Below are 19874 nucleotides of genomic sequence, written 5' to 3' on the forward strand. Positions count from 1 at the left end.
TCCTTCCGGACTGGTTCCCAAGGGCTAGGCCCTAGGTGAATAATAAGCCTTTTCTCGATCCTTTCTGCAGCCCGAGAGGAAAGCCCCATGCTATCCCCATTTCATAGATGGGAAAACTGAGGCTTGAGGACACTTTGCGGCCTCCAAGGGCTGTTCTCTTCATTCCTCCAGCAGAGTGGATATGAGACGGTGCAGGGTCTGGAATGTCTGGGCAGAAGGAAGAGCTGGAGCAAAGGCCTGGAGGCTGGAGAGCGCTGTCGGGGGGCAAGTGGGGCAGTGTCCCACTGCGGGGTTTCATCTCAGCTCTGCCATGTCTTGGCTACGTGACCTCTGACACCCTACTGGGCCTCTTTGATCCCAGACTCACCTGTAGAATGGGTGTGTGAGAAGAAAACCTTCTGGAGCGGGGTGTTGAGGAGAGAACAGTGCCTGACACATCATAATAATAATGCTGAATAGATGTTATTTTCATTCCTAACCACTTCCTCCAGGAAGCCCATCCTGACCTCTAGCTCCCAAAGTCACCTGGACTTCCTCCATCACAGACCTTGCCACAGTGTGAGAAACTGCCTCATCCACACACCAGCTTCTCACCTCCACCCAGACCCTCTGATTGGGACTCCCCTGAAGACTGTGTCCCCAGAGCCCAGAAAGAGTCCAGCACAGAGCAGCTGAGGGGGCAGGTGCTGGTGAACAGTGTCAATGAGCCCCTGCTACTCACCAAGCCCTTCACACACGGGTCCTTCATTTAATGTCTTTCTTCTCCTAGATAGAACCTTGGCTTTGCCAAGACCGGTATAGTTGCTGCTCAAGAAATATGTGAGGAAATTGTTGAGATGAACCAGCACTCAGGGGAAGGGAGGCTTTCTGAGGCTGGGGCCTTAGCAGGTGGAGCTCCTGGGATAATAATAATAAGAAAGATGCCTGGACGCGGTGACTCACACCTGGAATCCCAGCAATTTGGGAGGCTAAGGCAGGCAGATCACTTCAGGCCAGGAGTTCAAGACCAGCCTGGTCAACATGGTGAAACCTGGTCTCTACTAAAAATACAAAAAATTAGCTGGGCCTGGTGGTGTGAGCCTATAGTCCTAGCTTCTCGGGAGGCTGAGGCTGGAGGGTCAATGATTGAACCTGGGAGGTGGAGCTTGTAGTGAGCCGAGATCGCGCCACTGCCACTGCACTCCAGGCTGGGCAACACAGTGAGACTCTGCCTCCAAAAAGAAAGACAACAATAATCATTAGTCTTTACTCTGCTCCAGGCACCAGGCTGAGTCTTCTCAGTTCATCTCCCCAGCAGATTAGTTCTATTATTGTTTCCATTTCACAGATGGGAAAATCAAGGCACAGGGAGGGGAGGTGGCTTACTCCAGGTCACACAGTTAGTGAGAGGCAGAGGCAGGATCAAAGCCAAGCCTGTTTGACTGAGGAGCCCGCCCCGAGACCTTAACCACACAACCCCTCCCTAGAAGGAAGGTGCCACTACTGGACACATTTTGGAGATGGAAACCAAGGCTAAGAGAGTCAGGATGGCCTGCCCATGTCTGGACACAGAAACTGAGGTTAAGCAGGAGATGCCCGAGGCGGGGTCCCTGTCTCCTAGGCCAGCACCCTGAAGAAGGGGTGGGAGACAACCCCCCACCCCCCAAGCTGTCCCCTGCTTGTTGGAGTTTCTGGTCAATACCCTGGCCTCTGTTACCCAGCCCAGCACCCAAGACGCTGCCTCTTCCGCCTGCCTGGAGTCTCGGGTGCCTTCACAATCGGATTCTCTGTCTCTGCAGCTGCTTTCCATTTGAGCCCTTTGTGCTGAAAATAAAAAAAATGAAAAGAAAACTTGGCACCACCCCTCTGCTTTGCTTCCTGGGGAGGAAGGAGGATCCCAGCTACTTCTTTCCCTCATTCTGGGGCCCAGAGATACCCACAGCCTGCCCGAGGTCACACAGCAGGGTTGGAGCCGGGACCCTGGCCTTAGACTCCCCTTCCAGTGCTCTACCCACTCTGGCCACTGCCTCTGATGTTCCTGGCTCTTCCTCTAGGCCCGTGAGGAGCAGAGAAATTAGGATGAATGTTCCCGAGCCCTACCACATGCTGGGCACTCTGCCATCCTGGGCTCACGAAACCCTCATGACAGCCCTGTGAGGTCCCGTCATCCCATTTAACCAACAAGGAAGCTGAGGCTCAGAGAGGGGAAGCGCCCAAGGTCACACAGCTGGGATGTGGCAGAGCTGGGGTTCCAGCTCCTGTTCCCATTGCTGGACAGCTGCCACATCTGGCACCCAATTTAGGACCCCGCGGGGAGGCCCAAGCCCCGGGGGTGGCGGGGGATCCTAGAGGAAAGTGGCAAGGCCAGGACCCTGGAGCAGAGCCAGGTAGGAACAATGGGTTCTCAGAGACCAAGGTGGCAGGGCGGGGCGGCTGCTGAGCAGGGGCGGCAGGGCGAGGTGGCGGGCGGGGCCCAGGAGACTTCATGCTCCCGCCTCCTACTCCAGCTCCCTGTTTGGGATCTGGGGACGCTCCAAGCACCTCAGCTTCTCAACCTGGACAGACCCACGGCTCCAGCAGGAGGCAGGGCCAGCCCTGTGTATAACCATAAATATAATGGGCAATAATCAGATTTCACGCTTACCGAGCCCTACTACAGGCCAGACACTGGGTCAAGGGTCCTTCCTGGGTCATCACAATCAGCCTAGGAGGTGCAATTAGGATTAGTGGCTTTTTACAGATGCGGAAACAGAGGTCCAGGGAGCTACTCAGCACCTGCTGTGCCAGGACAAAGAACTTTGGGAAGTGGGGCCCTCAGAGGGTGGGTACCCTGTTCCCAGAGGCAGGAAAGTTGAGGTGGACTGGACTCAGTGGGGCTCAGTGGGACACCGTGGGGAGTCAGTGCTCTCTGGGGGCGAGATGAATTAGAGGGAGCCCTTTTGGTTTTTTAGAATCTGAACATGGGGCGGGGGAAGCAGAGATGTGGGGAGCAGATGAAGCCTCCCTGGCACTGCTGGGAGGATTAAAGGACTTGATGGACACCCAGGGCTTGGAAATGTACCTGGTAGAGAGTAGGTGCTCAGGGAACAACTCCTGTTTGCAGAAACAGCAACTCACACTTAGGGAGCCTGCTGTGCATCTGAACCCCGTGCTTGGGTGTTTCTGACCCCCTTCCAGCTCTCATCCCTCCTCTCTCCATTTTCTCCCCTGTCTCAGGTTCATTCCTATGTTTCCTCTTGCCCCAATTAGGCCATCTTCTATGACTGCAACAGTAAAAATATTAATTAAATCTTATAACATGAAGTCTAACGTGGGGCCATTCCAGTGTTCCAGGGCAGGCTCCCTGCGCTCTAGGTAGGCATCTCTTCACTTCTCTTTCTTCATGGGCCCCAGTGCCTGCTGTGGCTCAAGACATCACGTCCCACATGATCACATCCTAACTAGGAAGAGATGAACAGAAAAGGGGACTTTCTCCTCCAGGATCTCACTTTTTTTTTTTTTTTTTTTTTTGAGACAGAGTCTTGCTCTGTTGCCCAGGCTGGAGTGCAATGGCACGATCTCGGCTTACTGCAACCTCCGCCTCCTGGGTTCAAGCGATTCTCCTACCTCAGCCTCCCACATAGCTGGGATTACAGGCGTGGGCCACCACTCCCAGCTAATTTTTTGTATTTTTAGTAGAGATGAATTTTCACCATGTTGGCCAGGCTGGTCTCAAACTCCTGACTTCAGGTGATCCACCCACCTCAGCCTCCCAAAAGTGCTAGGATTACAGGCGTGAGCCACCGTGCCCAGCCAACAATTTTTCTTACATGTCCCAGTGGATGTCCCCTGGTGTCTCATGGAATGATGGGCTCACATGTCCACATTTGAACCAGAAAGGAATTCCCGTGGCTGACTCAGGCCAATTAGGGTTCAGCCTGTCTGGCTGCTCCAAAGAGATGTGGGCTCCGAAGGTGATGGGGGCACGGCTGGGCTGGCCACCAGCTGGAGTCTCACTGACGGCCTAAGTGGCACAGTGGGCCTGGGTTTGCTCGGCCTTCTCTGGCTGGTCCTCTTGGCAGCGTCTGCCCCCTGGGTAACTGCCCCCTCCTTGAGCACAGTCTTCCCCAGCCTCTTGATGGCGGCTTGCTGGTCTCGCTGGTTCTCCTCTTACTTCCCTGCCCGTTCCTCCTTGGGCCTTGAAAACGACCCCTCTCCTGCCTTCATCTGACCCTTGCCCCGTGAGCTCAGCTGTGCGGGGTCCCTCGTGCCTTTATGCGGGCTCTGTCAGTCTGTCCATGGGTGTCCCAGGGGCGCACCCCACTGGGAGACATGGATGTCTTTCCCAGCTGAGAAGACAGCACTGCCACCCACCCAGTGGGCCAGGCCTCAGACCCCAGAGTTGTCCTTAACTCCTCTCTCTCTAACCCCAACATTCAATCCTCAGCAAATTCCATCGGCTCTGCCTGTGGACTGAATCCAGAACTCGACAAGTCTTCCCTCCTCTGTCTGGTCATTGCTCGCCTGCCTGGGCAGAATCTCCGCCCTGGACTCCCCACCCACCCCACACAGCCCTCCACACTCAGCCAGAGGGCTCCTGTTGGAACCCAAGTCAGGTCACACCATTGCCTCACTCCAAACCCTACTCCTACCTCCCTCAGAGAGAAAGACAGTCCCTGCTCTGGTCCCAAGGACAGCCCTGCATGGCCTTCCCCCTCCCCACCTCCCCTCCCCTCTTCCCTGCCCGCAGTGACCTCCCTCCTCCTGCTAGAACACATAGAGCTTTGCCCCACCTCTCCTGGGTGCTCTTTTTCTGGATCTTTCCATGATCAGCCCCATCCCCTCACTCGGGCCTGTGCACCTCAGAGAGGCCTCCCAGACCATCCCTGAAAGTAGCCCTGCCCACCCCTACCACACCTGCCAAAGGTCAGCTTCGGCAAGTGGGGACTGTGTCTTATTCAGCATGGGGCCAGCACAGGGCAGTGCGCAGAACGCAGCAGCTGGCGCCGGGCTCCGTGGGTCCTCCCACAGATGCAGTCCATAGGGATGGTGTCTGGGTCCCAAGGTGACCCCTGGGCTGAGGTCACCACCTTTCCTCTTCCAGGATCACTGCCTGGATGACGGTGGGTGTCCCAGTGGTGGGGAGAGCAGCTCCGAGCCTCCATCATGCCCAGAGCAATGGGCACTGGAGCCTGGAACCTTCTTTCCGTATCACAGAACCTCCAGGAGTCTGGAAGGAGACAGTTGCAAGGAATGGAATTTAGGAACTTTTGGTCCATGCTCGGTGTTCCCTTTGGGGGTATCTTGTCCGATGGTTATTGTTTTTGTTTCCCCTTTTCCTGAGCTGTGGTGCCTATTGTTCAAACAGAGGACCCCAAGCGATGGCCTGCCTCACTCAGGCGCAAGCACCCGAGCTGTCTGGCAAGGTGGCAATCCACCACGGCCAACTTCCCCTTGGGGATTCCGCAGGAAGGACGTGGCCCCTCCAACCGAGGCGGATGTACGGTCTCTCCATAGATTCCGCCTGCGTAATCCCATGGCCGCTTCAGCTGGGTCTCATGGGGCCACCCTGTGGCCTGCGTTCAAGGACCACATCGTAGCAACAGGTCTGCGTTAAAGCTGGAATCGCACCCAGCAGACTCGGCCTGGGGGGATCCACCAGCCCACATCTCGCTCTCCCGATACAGCCACCTGGCAATTGGCTCTTCTCTCTCCAAGGCTGTATTTGTTCTTTTTGCTGAGTGTGTGCAGGTGAATTCTCGTTAGTTAAAGCGCCTGCGCGGTGGCCGCCCTGAATACAAAAAAGATCAAGGGGATGCTGTCCTGGTAGGTATAAGGAGTGGGGGCCCCCCACCTTTACCACTTCTCCAGGTGACCCGAGGGTCTGTCCTTAGAATACCACCAGGCTCAGTGGAACCCAGTTTGAAAGCCCACGATCGAGGTCTGTCCCTTTGGTCTCCATCTGGGAAAGTGAGGCGAGAGATGAGGGAGGGGGCATTTTGAGGACCAGAAATGTCGTGGCAGAAACAGCCAGCCTGGAGAAGGGAGTCTGGGCAGGGCAGGACCCAAAGGCTCGAGCAGGATGTGTCTGGTGAGGTTGTCTGGGGGAAGTGACTTGCCTGTCCCCTTCGTTCATTCTTCAACATTCATTCATTCATTCATTCATTCAACACACAATGAAGCACCCACTGAGCTGGGGGTGACAATGATCCCTGCCTACAAGAAGCTCCCAGGCCGGTGGGGGACATGAACACCCTTCAAAATGTCAATTTGTGGCTGTGACAAGTACAAGGTGATCTGAGGGTCAGTAAAGGGGGAAGGAGGTTGATGTGGTTAGGGTGTTCGGGAAAGCTTCCTAGAAGCTGAGCTGGGAACTGAAGGGTGAGTAGAGGCCAGGCAGATGAGAAAGGGAGGAACGAATATTCCAGCAAGTGGACACAGCACATGCAAGGGCCCTGCTGTGAAATGGAGCAGAGTAGGAGAGGCTAATAGGCTCGCAGCTCCACGTGGCGGACAGTTCGCAGTGAGGGGCAGATGTGGAGAGGAAGGTGAGGTGGGGGCTGGACAGGCTCCCAGTGAAAGCAGCCCAGTCTCTATGCCAAAGGCAGAGGGGTTCTTGGGAGGATCTGAGCCAGCAGCACCAGCTTCTTCCTGAATACTCCAGGGCTTGGGGCCAGGGGTGGTCATCTGGACTCGATCCTCAGTGGGATAGGAGACAGGGTCACCTGGCACTTCCGCCCACCTCTGCCTTCCTGGTCTGGGTATAACAATCACTGTCTCTTCGTCTTTCATGATTTATCTCACTGAACCCCCACCCACAGACCAACACCTGCAGGTGCCAGGGGTTGAACCCACTTGTCAGATGGGGAAACTGAGTCTGTGAGATGTTCTCATGGCCCCACCCACTTCCTTCTGCTCAGAGAAAAGAGGAACGGGGAACTGATGCCCCTGGTCAGCTGGGAAGAGTCTGGGCAGGGAATGGGGAGGGTGGGGCCCTCGGGGGCCTGCATTCGGGATGGGCAGGGGCCCTGCTTCCGTTTAACCACAGCCCTGTGACATGCCCCAAAAGGGAAGCAGCAGCCGCCTGTCCTCACCCCTCCGTGCCCTAGGGAGGGGGCTGGGGATGCCCAGGGGTGGGGAGCAGGAGTCTGGGGAGGCCTCACCCTCCCACCCCAGGCCTCGAGTCTGGGTTCTTACAGAACTCTGGGGTCAGCTGAACCCAGCTGGTGACCTCCATCAAGTCCCAAGAAGACCTTGGCTTCCTATTCTGTAAATGGAGGATCAGTCTCTCTGGAATGTTCTCAGATTAGCACACAGTGGGTCCTCACTGAATGGCTAGCCAGCAGTTGTTGGTTGAATAAGCTAAAAGTGTTTTTCTCCCTGAAAGGAGTAGCCAATTAGATAAGGAACCCATGTATATGACATTCCACAAATATTTATTGAGCACCTATTAGATTTCAGGCATTGTCCTGGTACTGTGGAGCAATGAACAAACAAGACAAAAATGCCCCCGTCACCTTTGGAGCCCACATCTCTTTGGAGCTGCCCTGCCTTTCCTGGTTTGTGGCAGACATCACTAATTGATCATCTTTCCTGCTGCAACCAGAATTCTCTCCAACACCGTGCACCACTCAGAGACTGACATATGGTGGGGAACAGCCTGTCATCCCCAGGGAGGGATGGCACGTGGGGACTTGGAAGGTCTCAGTGAGAATCTTCTAGCTGATTTAAGCAGCTTCCTCTCAGTCTCTTTCAACAAATATTTATTGAGCACCTACTTTGTGTCCAGTACTGTGCCAGGCATTGGGGATACAGCAGTGACCAGGGTGGACATTACCCTTACCCTCGTGGAGCTGATGTTCTGGTGAGAAAGACAAGTAAACAAATAAGCAGACACTTCCAGACACAGATACTACAAACACATGCCAGAGGCATATGGTGGAGGGTGACAGGGAAGGAGTCTGGGGTAGGTTGGGGTTGGGGGTTCTGGAGGGAGGGTATTTATTGAGACCTCACTGAGATGCAGCCACCAAAGGAAAATATGGGGGAAGGTGTCACAGGCAGCACAGCAAAGGCATAGGCCCGGAGTGGGGAATGAGGTTGATAGATTTAAGGGACAGGAAGGAAATAGTGTTGCTGGCGGGGCATGAATGTAGGGGAGAGAAGCAGGAGAGGGTGGTGGAGACCAGGCTGGGGCCATACATCCAGGGCTCGGGGCCAGGGGTGGGCTCTGAATCACATCTCCAATGGGATGGGCAGTCACTGGAGGGTCAAAGCAGGGAAGAGACTTGGGCGGGATCCCATTTCAGATCCCTCTGGCTGTGTGAAGCAGGGACACCCAGCCGGAGATGGCCGCAGATGTCCAGGCGAGCGAGGATGGCAACTTGGACGGGGGCGATGCCAGTGAATGTGGGGAGAGATGGCCAGGCCTGGCGGGAGGCCCAGGGCTCTGCATTCAGTTTCATTTTTCCTTTTACACAATCCCCCCCGGCCCCGGGCACTCTGGGTCACTGGACTTTCCCTGGCACTGCCGGTGGGGCCCACAACCTGCTGGCAATCTGGCCTCTCCGAGTCCCAGCTGGTTCCCTGCCCTGTCCTGGACCCTTCCTCTCCAGGAACAGGCCCAGCTCCAGTTCCTCTGTCACTGTTTCCCACCACCTCCTGCCCCAGGTCTGCCTGGGCCCTGCTGATCTCCTAATTCTGCCTCTGCTCCAGCACCCCCTGCTCCAGCCCTGCTGGCTGCCTGGGAGCCGGCAGATGCTTCCTCTGAGCTGCCTTTTCCAGATCAAGTTTGCATCCAAGGAAGCGAGCCTGAGACTCCCAGCCAGCTGGGGGAGACAAGTTCGAGGGAAGTACCCCAAGGTAGCTTGCCAGAGGGCAGCCTCGCTCTTGGGCAGATTTTTCCTCTGGTCCAGTTTGTTGTTGGATGGAGCAGGCAGATCTACCTTCCCCACTGACTCAGGCCTTGGGTGCTCGGATGGAGACTGTGGCCGAAGAGCTGTGTTGAGCAGGGCTCTGAGGCTGCATCTATGATACTAGGAAGGAGACTCATTATTGATTAGTGATGCCTGCTGTGGACCCAGGATGGAGGATAGGGGCCACGCTGGCCTCATAGGTGTGTCTGCGGCACCCAGTAGGTCCTCAGGTCTGCACTCCCCTGTTGTACCTCTAAATCTTCAAGTATAACAAATGCTGTTTGAAAATACCTTATGATGGTGGGCCGAGGTGGGAGGATCGCTTGAGGCCGGGAGTTCCAGACCAGGCTGGGCAACAGAGTGAGAACCCATCTCTAGAGGGGAAAAAAAAAGAACTAGCTGAGTGTAGTGGTGCACGCCTGTAGTCCCAGTTACTTGAGAGGCTGAGGTGGGAGAATTGCTTGAGCCCAGGAGATTGAGGCTGAAGTGGGCTATGACTGTGCCACTCCACTCCAGCCTGGGCAACAGGGCAAGACCCCCCATCTGTCTTAAAAAAAAAAAAAGGAGAAAAAGAGAGAGAGAAAATACCCCATGGCCTTGGTTTCCTTATCTGTGAAATGGGGATGATGATGACAAGCCCCCAGAGGGCTTCCCCGCACCCTGGCAGTGACTGACACAGAGGCCCTGAGAGCTGCGTGTTCCAGAGTCATGCAGCTGGTACATGGCCGAGCTGGTGGGGTTTGAACCCTGGGTGCCTGAGTCAGGGAGAACAGGCGGAACAGTTGGGCCAGGGAGGGGAAGGTGCTGCCCAGAGCTCCCAGTGACCTTGGACCCCACTTCTCCTTTCTGCCCAGTGTGCTCGGCACACAGGAAGCCTGGCGGGGCCTCCCTTGCCCATCCTGTCTGCAGCCGGGTGGACACGGGGTCCCGGCGTCACCCACCGCCACCCAGGCCTCCTCCTTCCTGTGTTGTGCAAGACGAGGCGTCCCCTGTGTGGAATGGGCAGGCAGCTCTGGCGATGGGTGGACGGGTGAATGGGGGCCTCTCAGGCGGGGTCACTGCCCGCGGTTACCTCTAGCAGGCCTGGCCTAAGCCTCCGCCCCTTCCTCCTCCTTCTCCTCCTCCTCTGTTTCCCCAAAGTTCAGGCAGCCTTAAGCAAGAGGCTGTGGGACCCAGGAAACTGGGGAGGTTGTCCAGCCACCATCTTGTCCCCACAGAGCAGACCTAGGCTTGCGCAGTCTTGGAGAGGTCCTAAACAACAACAACAACAAAACTATAATAATAATGATAATAGCTGTTATAGTGGAGTGGCTTCTATGCACCAGGCATGCTCTCATTTAACCACAAATACATAAAACGCACCTCCTATGTGCCACGTGTGATTCTCAGACCTTTACCTCATGTCCCATCGAATCCCCGGCAACCCTTGTGAAACAGTTTTTTTTTTGTTTTTTTTTAATGATTCCTTTCTTCAGAGTAGAAAACTGAGGCTCTGAGAGATGAAGCTACTTGCCAAGGTCACGCAGCACAGTCACATCCTACTGAACATCATCCTGTTCTCTGGGGTGAGTGCTGTCCTGGAAGTTGGGGGGCTCAGAAGCTGTTGGTGCCCACCTGGGAGGTCGCCCTTGCAGCTGCTATCCTGAATCTCTTGCCCAAGGGCTTCCTCTGGCCACAAGAGTGTGGGAAGCAAGTGAGAGACCCCTGCCAGTAGAGGTGGGGTCTGTTTGTCCCCCCACTCAGCTTCCTTGCTTCTGGCTCAGGGGACAGTGGGAAGGTACTTTCTGCGAGTTGTCCCAGAGGCCTCTAGGGGGTTGGGCTCCTGTTGCCCACTGAGGAGACCTGCTCATCTACCTTCCTTGTGTCACTTCCTCACTCCTTCCCAGTGTTTCTAGAATCACCTCCCAAATATCCCACTTGCACCCAAAACCTTGTCTTGGGTCAGCTTCTGGGAGCCGACCTAAGCCAGCAGCTATAATGCTCAGGGCTTAAGAGCTTTGGAATCAGATGGACCTGAGTGTGAATCCCGCCCCTGCCACTTAACCTGAGTGTGAACTTGGGAGCCTGCCCCACCTCTCGGAACCTCAGTTCCTCCATCTATGAAAAGGGAACTTACGTGCAGAAAACCAAGTGACTATGAGGGGGATGGGGCAGTGTGAGATGACGGGACCAGAGCACGTTCCTGGCTGCAGAGGCCACAAGTCACGCTGTCTCTGAGAGGTATGGGGACAGGGGCGCAGAGGAAGAATGATCGCGAGTCCTCAGCCCTGTTTGGCTGACGGGGGACAGGGATGGGTGGGAAAGAGGTACAGCGTTTTTCCACCTTCCCCACCCATCACCCCTGAGATTCCAAATGAACATCGGGACCAACCCCGGGAGCCCAGCGGATGTTCAGGGTAGGGCAAAGAACAGGTGCCAAGTTTGCTCCCTGGGGTGTGAGACTGGGCAGCCTCAAGAGCTGCATTGGTAGGACTTTCACCAGGTAGACAGCAGGCACCTCGCCCCTGCAGATCACAGCTTCCAGGGCCACCTGTCCACAGAATCCCTTCACTGATCTGTGCTTGAGGCAGGGGTGTGTGGACTGGGAGTCCTTCTTTTACTCTGGGTGGGGCCTCATGCTCAGAGGGAGCTCTGTCTACCCCCACCACAAACCTGCAGTTTCCCTGCTACAGCGATGGCAACCTCAGCCACCTGGCTGCCCAGGCCCCCAACCTGGGTTCTCCCTCTTGTTCCCATGGTCAGCCCATCAGCAAACTCATCCACATGTCCAAGGGTCCACCCCCACTACCCTGCCCTGCCCTGGTCCAGCTAGGATGTTTGCAGTCGTCTCCTCATTGGTCTCCCTGCCTCCTCTCTCGCCTTCCTAAGCCAGAGGAATTCTGTAAGAGCTCAAGTTAGATCCTATCCCTTCTCTGCTCAGAACCCTCTATGGCTCCCAACTCACTCAGAGCAGAAGCCCACAGGGCCTGCAGGATCTCTGCCCTGGCCCCGCCTGACCTCACTGCCTCTCCCTTCTCTGTTCACCCACAGCCACGGTGGCCTCATCTCTCTGCCATAAACTTGCCAATTATCCTGCTGCTGCCTCATTGACTTCGCACCCACTCTTCCCTCTGGAACAGAGGACACTCTCGCCAGCTCTCCCCATGGCGGATCCTTGTCTAGGGTCAGGCCTCTGCTCCAAAGTCACCCCTGGGGACACCTTCTCTGACCAGCCCCTCATTCCTATGGCCTCATGCTGTTTTTATTTCTTCCTAGGACTTAGCACGTATCCTAGAAATTAACCTGCTGGTATATCCTGTTTCTTGTCTGTCTCTTTCCAGTGGAATGTCACCATCGCCCAGGTGGGGATTTTTGTGTGTTTTGTTCACTGCTGTACACCCAGCCCCCAGCACAGCGCCTGTCCAGGACAAGTGCCCAGTAAACACTTGGGAAGCAATGCAAGCGTGCGTGCATGGATAAGTATTTCTTTGGCAGATGAGGGGGCTAAGGTTCAGAGAAGGCCCTGGGGGTCTCAGACTCATAGCCCAGTGCTCTTTCTGCTGACACGCCCTGGTCTCTGGGGCAGTTTGTTGCCTGTTCAGCAACAAAGAGGGTGTGCCTCGTTAGGGGTCCTGCGTGCGAATCGCAGTCCCTGCGTGTCTTGGCTGGAGGTCACCACCCTCTCTGCTCCAGGGCCTGTAATTACCACTTACCCTGGTCAATGGGTCCGAGAGATTACCCTTGTAGGCAGGGCTGTGGCCAGGGTGCTCACCTGGCCCCCAGCAGGTCCCATGGGCACTGTCTGGCCGGGCTTCATGGCTGACATTCCAGGTACATTTCTAGCCCTGGGCTGCCATGGGCAGAGGGTGGGGAGAGGGTCGTGGGCTTCAGGCTGGACAAACCAGTCAGCCTTCCCAGCTGGGCCGCCTGACCACCCACTTCCTGTGGGGCTCCTTGAGGCCTGGAGGGTGGAGGGGGTCTCTGTTCAACCCCCACCCATGCCCTCTTCCCTTCTCTCCCTCGGCAGGTCCTCCCAGCAGCTCCTGCAAACAGACCCCCGACCCAAGCCCTTCCTTCTGCCTCCACTGCCACCACTGCTGCTCATCTCTGCTGGCACAGAAGTCTCTTCCCTGGTCTTCCAGAAATCCCCTCTCCACACTCAGCCAGAGGGAGCTATTAAAACTGTGGGCCAGCCCACATCAGTCCACAGCAAAGTCCTCTCTAAGGGATCTCTGTTGCTTGGAGAATAAACCCTCGGATTCCTTCCTTGGCTCTCGGGGCCTCCTCTCTGACCTCCCTCTGTCTCCTCTCCCAGCCTTCCTCCTCACTCACCCTCCAGCCATGCTGGCTTCCTCCTTGCTCCTGAAACAGCCTGAGGCCCACACTGCCCCGGGCCCTTTGCACTGGCTGTTTCCTCTGCCTGGAACACTTCTCCTAGGCATCCACAGGGCTCCCTCCCACAACTCCTTCGGGTGCCCACATGGGAAGCCATCCCTGACCACCCCCCCGACTTCCTTCTGAGCAAGGTAGGGTCTTTCTACCTAGTCATGAGGGCAGGGATTTTTGTCTGTTGTGTTCTCTGTGTGCCCCCAGTGCCATCCCAGTGCCTGGCAGATGGTAAGTGCTCGACACACATTGGCTGACTGCCTGAATGAACAACTCTATGAGCCGATGGCAGATAAGGACACTGAGGTCCTCTGGGGTAGGTGACCAGCCCAAGGCCACACAGCTGGTCTGAGATTAGGCCAGGAGAGGAGCCCGGGTTGGTCACATCCTGGAGTTGGCGTCTTGGAAACTGCATCAGGAGAATAACAAAGATGAGACGCAGGCTCTAACAAGTGGATACCAGTGACTCTCGCCCCGCCAGCCCCAGCCCTGCAGCCTTGGGCCCTTCCAGGAGTCATGGTCTGCCTGCCTGGGGCATTCCAGGCTTCGACCCAGGTCCTGCACTTTCTATTTTGAGCCTCTTAGTCCTGAGGACTGTGTGTTCCCAGCAGGCGGCGCGGGCCAGAGGCTGAGCCTGGGTGTGGCTGTCACCCTATCTGGGGCCAGAGACCCAGATTCCCGGGCCCTTAACCTGTTGGCTGCTGAGGGCTCTGGCATAAGCCCTGTTCCCTGCTTGATTGTCTCCCCTTCAAGCCCCTGCCCTGGTATCGTATCGGCCCATCTCACCTTGGATTATATCCCTGTTTGGCCCCATTTGAATCCTGGCTCTGCCCCTTTCCAGCAATGTGACCTTGGGCAAGTCACTTCATCTCTCTGGGTCTCAGTTTCTTCATCTGGGAAATGGGGACAATAAGAGTACCTGTCTCTGGCCATGTGTGGTGACTCATGCCTGTAACCCCAGCGCTTTGGGAAGCCGAGGCGAGAGAATTGCTTGAGACCAGGAGTTTGAGATCAGCCCTGGGCAACATAGTGAGACCCCTGTCTCTACAAAATTCTAAAAAAATTAGCCGGGTGTGGTGGTGTGTGCCTGTAGTCCCAGCTATTCTAGAGGCTGAGGCGGGAGGATTGCTTGAGCCCAGGAGTTTGAGGCTGCAGTGAGCTATGATTATGCCCCTGCACATCAGCCTGGGTGATAGATTGAGGCCCCATCTCTAAAAATAACAATACTAATAATAAATAAAAATGAAAATGAGTACCTGTCTTCTGGGGTTGCAGAGGAGATTCAATGTGATGAAATTGATGAGAGTGCCCTGCAGGGAGCCGGAAACTCAGGGAGCATCGATAATGAGTCCCCCACCATCAGCAGCTGGCTTAAATATAAAAACTGTCATGGCCTCTGGAGAAATGACAAGAATTCGAAGGAGCTTCCCTGCACTGGCCACCCTACACCCTACACCCTTACTTCCTCCCCTCAACTTGCCTGGATTTATCGACCCCCACTACCCCACTGGTTGCCTTCTCTCCACCTGGCACATTTCGTATGAATTTGCTTGTTGGTTCTTGCCTATCTCCCCAGTAGAACATTAGCTCCTTCAGGACAGGGACTTTTGTCTACCTTATGCACCTAGTGCAATGCCTGGCACACAGTCGGTGCTTAATAAATGTTTCTTAAAAGAACCAATAAATGAATAGTGACCTCTCCGGGGAGAGGAGCCCTGAGCTCACCTCCTGCCCCCAGCCCAGGGCTCTTAGGTGCTTGTTGGTGTCAGGCCCAGGCCCCCCTCTCATCAAGCAGCCAATAAAACTGCCCTGGTTGGCGTTCTCATTTCACAGATGGAGAGACTGAGCCCAGAGAGGGAGAGTCACCTGTCTGATGTCACACAGAGGTCAGCATCTGGGCTGGGATTCCAGCCCAGGACCATGTGGGGTGGGGGGCAGTGGATCAATCTTTTCCTGGAGGGAGTCAATGGTGATGGTGGGAATGGGTCAGGGGTGCTGGCAAGGAGGGTCCAAGGCCCCCAGGAGGGAGGGAGGCATGGGAGATGAGTTTGTCCCTCTTGAGTTCTGTCTCTCTCTGTGTCTCTCTGTTTCTGCCTCTTTCTGTCTCCTTGTATTTCTCAGTCCCTGTCTTCGTCTATACCTCTTTCTCTCTTCCTTGTGTATCTGACCCACTGCCCAGGAGGGGATGCAGGCAGAGACCCCTGGCTTGGGTCCTGGAGTTGGGGCCCACGAGGGGATTGACATCTGGGGTTGAGCTGGGAATCTGAAGCCAGACCCTGCAGCCAGGGACAGCATTCCAGTCTCGGCTCCACACTCCAGGGATAGCCTTGGAACGCCAGGCAGTTCAGAGAGCCTGAGGTCTGGTCTTGGAGACCTGGGTTCCAATCCCAGCTTTGCCACATTCCAGCCATGTGGCCTTGGGCCCTTAGCCTTTGTTCCTGTAAAATGGGACCACTGAGAGCCCGATCTCAGGGTTTTATGAGGAGGAACGATGAGAGGGCTGTGCTGGGCTTCCTGAAGCCCTGTGTGGCCTGGAAAGCACTCAATAGATGATAACTCAGTGTAATGATTTCTTCTAGCAGATGGGGAAAGCGAGAGTTAAAGAGGCCCGATCATTTCACTCACTCATTCCTCAAACGTTATTAAGCACCTGCTATGCACCAGGTGCTTTGTTTTGTATCCATTAACTCAGGGTTCAGCAAACTACAGCCTCCAGGCCAAATCTGGTTCACAGCCTGTTTTTATAAATAAAGTTTTATTGGCACACAGTATGCCCATTCATTTACATATTGTCCACAGCTGCCTTTACCCTACAACTGCAATGTTGAGCAGTTGTGAGAGAGACCTTAAAACCCACAAAGCTGAACATATGAACTCTCTGGACATTTACAGTAAAGTTTGCTAATCCCTGGATTAGCCCATTACAACCCTGGAGGAAGGACATGTCATAAGCTTGATTTTATGGATTAGGAACTGAGGTCCGAGCGCAGTGTCTGCCACAAGGTTGGGTCTCCATACGTAATATCTGGGTCTTATTCCTCCTCTTCTGCCCCATGGGGAGCTGCCAACTCCTGTTCCCTTTCCCTATCCTGCATGGATCATAAGTGGATAATTTGAATCCCGCAGAGGAAGGAATGCTGTTTGAAGGTCAGGTCAATGGAAAGAGTCCTATTTTCAGGTCAATTTGGACCTTGCCAAAGCCTCTTCCTTCTGGTGACCTTAGCTGAGAGGTCTGCCACTAGCAGGTGCTTCATGAACAGTTGCTGAACAAGTGGTGTGCATCATGCTCCCGCTGTGAACTTCAGCTTGCTTGAAGGCGGATTCCTCCAGGTAATTGCAGGAGACCCCACGGCCGGCCACACACCACCGTTGGGATGAAAGATGGCCTCGAGCCATCGGTGGGAGAACACCCTGGGCAGGGAGATGCTTTCTAGAGCTCCACGGAAGTGGGGGAGGGGATCTCACTGCCCGCCAAGCATGCCCTGGAGTCTTTGTCCCTTCCTCCCTCATGCTGGAGGCCTGCAGGTACCTGGCTTGAGACGTTGCCTGGCCCTCAAAACACCCAGGTTCCCCCCAAGCTCCTCCCCAGCCTCCTCCCTGCTGACCTTGGGGAGCTCCCGGTTTGCCCTCAGCCCTTTTCTGGAGGCCCCAGAATCACCAAGAGGTAATCCTGCCTGCTGCCTGGAGGAGGCGATGTGGGAGACTCAGGAACCTGGGGTGTCCCCCAGCCAGGGGGCGGGCGTTGTGATCCGGCGCTGCTGAGCACTGCAGTGCCTTCCCTGATGGCCTTGTGTGCCGCTCCCTGACCCTCCCGTAGAGCAGCCTTCCCATACTGCTGGGTGACACTTGCGTAAATCATTTCACCTCTTGGCTCTGTAAAACGGGACTGGGGTGGTCCCTACCCCTTCAGGGTGTCGTGAGAATGAAAGGCATCAAGTGGGCAAAGCGCTTGGCATGGCCCTGAACCATGGTGGGCATTTGTCACACACGCTCATGGACTTATTCCTGGGTCCCTAGGATACCCTGGAGCTCCTCCCCAGGTTGGACCTGCTGCTAGCATGAGAGGGAAGAAGGGGGACACAGACACCAAAGACAGTTCTCGTCCTCATCTAAATGCTGGCGACTTCCAAGGGCACCTCCCCAAGGCCTCCCCTGAGCCTAGACTCAGGGGTCTCCACCCACCTGTCTCTGTCCCTGCTGGGATGACCAGGAGAAGCCTCAAACCCAGGTTGGCCAGGACTCCATTCCTGATCTGCCCCCCGAAGCCAGTCCTGCCTCTACTGATGGCTCCTGCATCCTCCAGGTGGTCCCCCAAACCTGGGAGTCTCCCCTGCCTTCTTCTTCTCACTTGCTCCCACATCTGATCGCTCATCACATCCTGTCGACTCCACCTTCAAGGTAGACCCGGAGTCTGCCCTCGTCTCCCCACCTCCACGGCCCCCGCTTCGGCCACGGCCACCAGCACCACCGCCTGGACTGGTGCAGTCACTTCCTCCTGGCTTCCTTTTCTCCCTCAGCCCCTCACAGTCTGTTCTCCACACACGACCAGAGGGACCTGTCAGAAGGGACCTATACCTTCCAGCACAGACCCTCCCAGGGATCCCAGCTCTCTGAGTGAAAGCTCCCTGTGGCCCGTGAGGCCGGGTGCGACCCTGGCCCCCCAGCAAACCCTCCACTTGTCTGATGACCTCGCTGCCTCTCTCCCTCGCGTACTCCCTTCCAGCCCTGATAGCTTCCTGCTGTTCCTCAAGAAGCCCTGGGTCTTTCCACCTCAAGGTCTTTGCAGGTCCCTGGAGCCCTTGTCCACCATGGATGTCCACGGCTCCCTCACCTCCTTCAGGTCTGAGCTCGGATGCCACTCTCGACAGCCACCTTCTCTGACCCTTCCCCTGGCTTAAGTAGCCTCTGCCTGCTCGACAATCTCTCCCTCTACGCCCCTGACCATCCCGTGTTCTTTTTTCATAGGGGGAGGGGAAAGGCACTCCCAGGAGAGTGGACAGTGTGGGCCAGGGCCTGGACGTGTGGGCAGCAAGAGGGTGGGTGAGGGGAGAGTGGTGGAGCCTGGGTGGCTGAGCTTCAGGGGGAGGCATCCTCCAGGCAGGAGTGAGCAGGCCAGGGTCACCCTGACTCCGTCAGCCACTGGTTGTGTGACTTCAGGGAGCTCTCTCTGGACCCAAGAACCTGCAACTGCTGTTGGAGACCCACTAAGTGGACCTGTCATCTGACAGAGGGGGAAACTGAGTCTCCAAAGCTGCTGCTGTGACCTGCTGAAAGGGTCAGCCCAGGGATAGGGACAAACCAGGGGCTTCTAGCAGTCACTTGCACCTCAGTGTGAGTGAGCTCCCTGGATTCTTGGCTGTCTGGTAGCCCCTAGACCCCATGGGGCTTGGGAGGCAGAGTGATGGCAGGGCTGAGCCTGGGGTGGAGTCAGGGCTGTGTCAAGTCCCGGCCCAGCCTCTGTCCCGGCCCCTGGCTCCCTGCAGGGTGCTGGATTGCACAATCATACCACCCACAGCTGTGACCAAGGCAGGTGACACACGCTTTCTGGGAGCCACCCTTGGGCCGTGCAGCCTCGTCACACACACAGGGCCACCGATGGCATGGATGCACCCCGGCACATCCTGACTGCGAGGAGTGACTGCTCCTCACACTGCCACTTCCGGGCTGTGTGACTCTGGGCAAGTCACTTCCCCTCTCTGAGCCTCTTTTCCTCTTCTGTAAGAGGAGGTAATATAGTGCCTGCTCCCCTGGCTGTTGGAGGGATTGACTCTGCCCCCGCCATGCTGGCCCTCTGGCTGGTCCTCAAATGCACCGGGCATGCCCCACCCAGGGCCTCCACCTGCGCCCTTCCCTTTGCTTGGGCCGGCCCTTGCACCTCCTTCAAGTCTCTGCTCAAACGTCGCAGCTCATGAGGCCTTTCCTGCCCCTGACACTCCCTCCTTACTGAATTCCTCCCTGCATCTCTCAGTGCTACCTGACTCATCATGGTTCCTGCTTGTTTTGTCTACCCGCTCCTGGGTGGCAGCTCCATCTTTGTCTCTCTTGGTCATCACTGTGTCCCCAGATCCCAACAAAGCACCTCGTACAAGAAAGTGCTCAGTCCATAGTTGCAGAATAAATGAATGAATGAATGAATGAATGAATGAATGGAAAGTGCTTAGCTCCACGCCCGACCCTTAGTAAGCACCTGAAACCCAATGCCGTGTGGTGGTGTTAGCTTTGGCTCCCGATTTCTAGCCCCATCCAATCCCACCCTCATCAGCCCGGCGCCCGTGCTTTCTCTGCCTGGCCAGCTTCCTGCTGCCTGCACAGTCTCCTCCCTGGGTCAGGACGACCTCTGAGGGAATCGTGGGCCTGCACGGCTGGCTCCCTCTGGCTCTGCCTCCAGCTCCTCTTACATCTCCCGGGGGCAGAGGCTTCTGGGAAACAGGCTTTGAAGCTCCCCTGGGTCAGACCCGCTGGGGCCTTCCTTAGGCATTGCCTGATGTGACCCCATTAGTGAACAAATGGGGACAGTGAGACCTAGAGAGGGGCAGCCATGTCCGATGTCAGGCTTCGGGGCTCCCAAAACATCCAGGGAAGCTTCCAGGACTCTGGCTTCTTTGTTGTTTTTGGAACAGAGCTGAGCTCAGGTGC

General features: G+C 56.0%; 1 long non-coding RNA gene across 2 annotated transcripts, besides 4 other annotated features; it reads left to right on the top strand.

Moving 5' to 3' along the window:
- The first annotated feature begins 2180 nt into the window (after positions 1–2180).
- Positions 2181–14491, top strand: PELATON (plaque enriched lncRNA in atherosclerotic and inflammatory bowel macrophage regulation). Of its 2 annotated transcripts, none has more exons than NR_170991.1 (4): positions 2181–2366; positions 10349–10438; positions 12194–12316; positions 12880–14491. It is a non-coding gene; the product is annotated as a plaque enriched lncRNA in atherosclerotic and inflammatory bowel macrophage regulation (long non-coding RNA). The 2 variants fall into 2 exon arrangements; NR_170992.1 differs by having other exon boundaries at positions 10354–10438.
- Positions 9329–9830: an enhancer, noted in NCBI's record as "H3K4me1 hESC enhancer chr20:48891163-48891664 (GRCh37/hg19 assembly coordinates)". NCBI's record gives its function as "activates a minimal SCP1, AML or CMV promoter by ChIP-STARR-seq in primed H9 embryonic stem cells {active_cell/tissue: H9 hESC(primed)}" and the evidence as "EXISTENCE:reporter gene assay evidence [ECO:0000049][PMID:30033119]".
- Positions 9831–10330: an enhancer, noted in NCBI's record as "H3K4me1 hESC enhancer chr20:48891665-48892164 (GRCh37/hg19 assembly coordinates)". NCBI's record gives its function as "activates a minimal SCP1, AML or CMV promoter by ChIP-STARR-seq in primed H9 embryonic stem cells {active_cell/tissue: H9 hESC(primed)}" and the evidence as "EXISTENCE:reporter gene assay evidence [ECO:0000049][PMID:30033119]".
- Positions 12175–12712: an enhancer, noted in NCBI's record as "H3K27ac-H3K4me1 hESC enhancer chr20:48894009-48894546 (GRCh37/hg19 assembly coordinates)". NCBI's record gives its function as "activates a minimal SCP1, AML or CMV promoter by ChIP-STARR-seq in primed H9 embryonic stem cells {active_cell/tissue: H9 hESC(primed)}" and the evidence as "EXISTENCE:reporter gene assay evidence [ECO:0000049][PMID:30033119]".
- Positions 13715–14009: an enhancer, noted in NCBI's record as "tiled region #10045; K562 Activating DNase unmatched - State 5:Enh". NCBI's record gives its function as "activates a minimal TATA promoter and a strong SV40 promoter by Sharpr-MPRA in K562 cells {active_cell/tissue: K562}" and the evidence as "EXISTENCE:reporter gene assay evidence [ECO:0000049][PMID:27701403]".
- Positions 14492–19874: the final 5383 nt, after the last annotated feature.

This window comes from Homo sapiens, chromosome 20 (genome assembly GCF_000001405.40).
Source record: "Homo sapiens chromosome 20, GRCh38.p14 Primary Assembly".
NCBI lineage: Eukaryota > Metazoa > Chordata > Mammalia > Primates > Hominidae > Homo > Homo sapiens.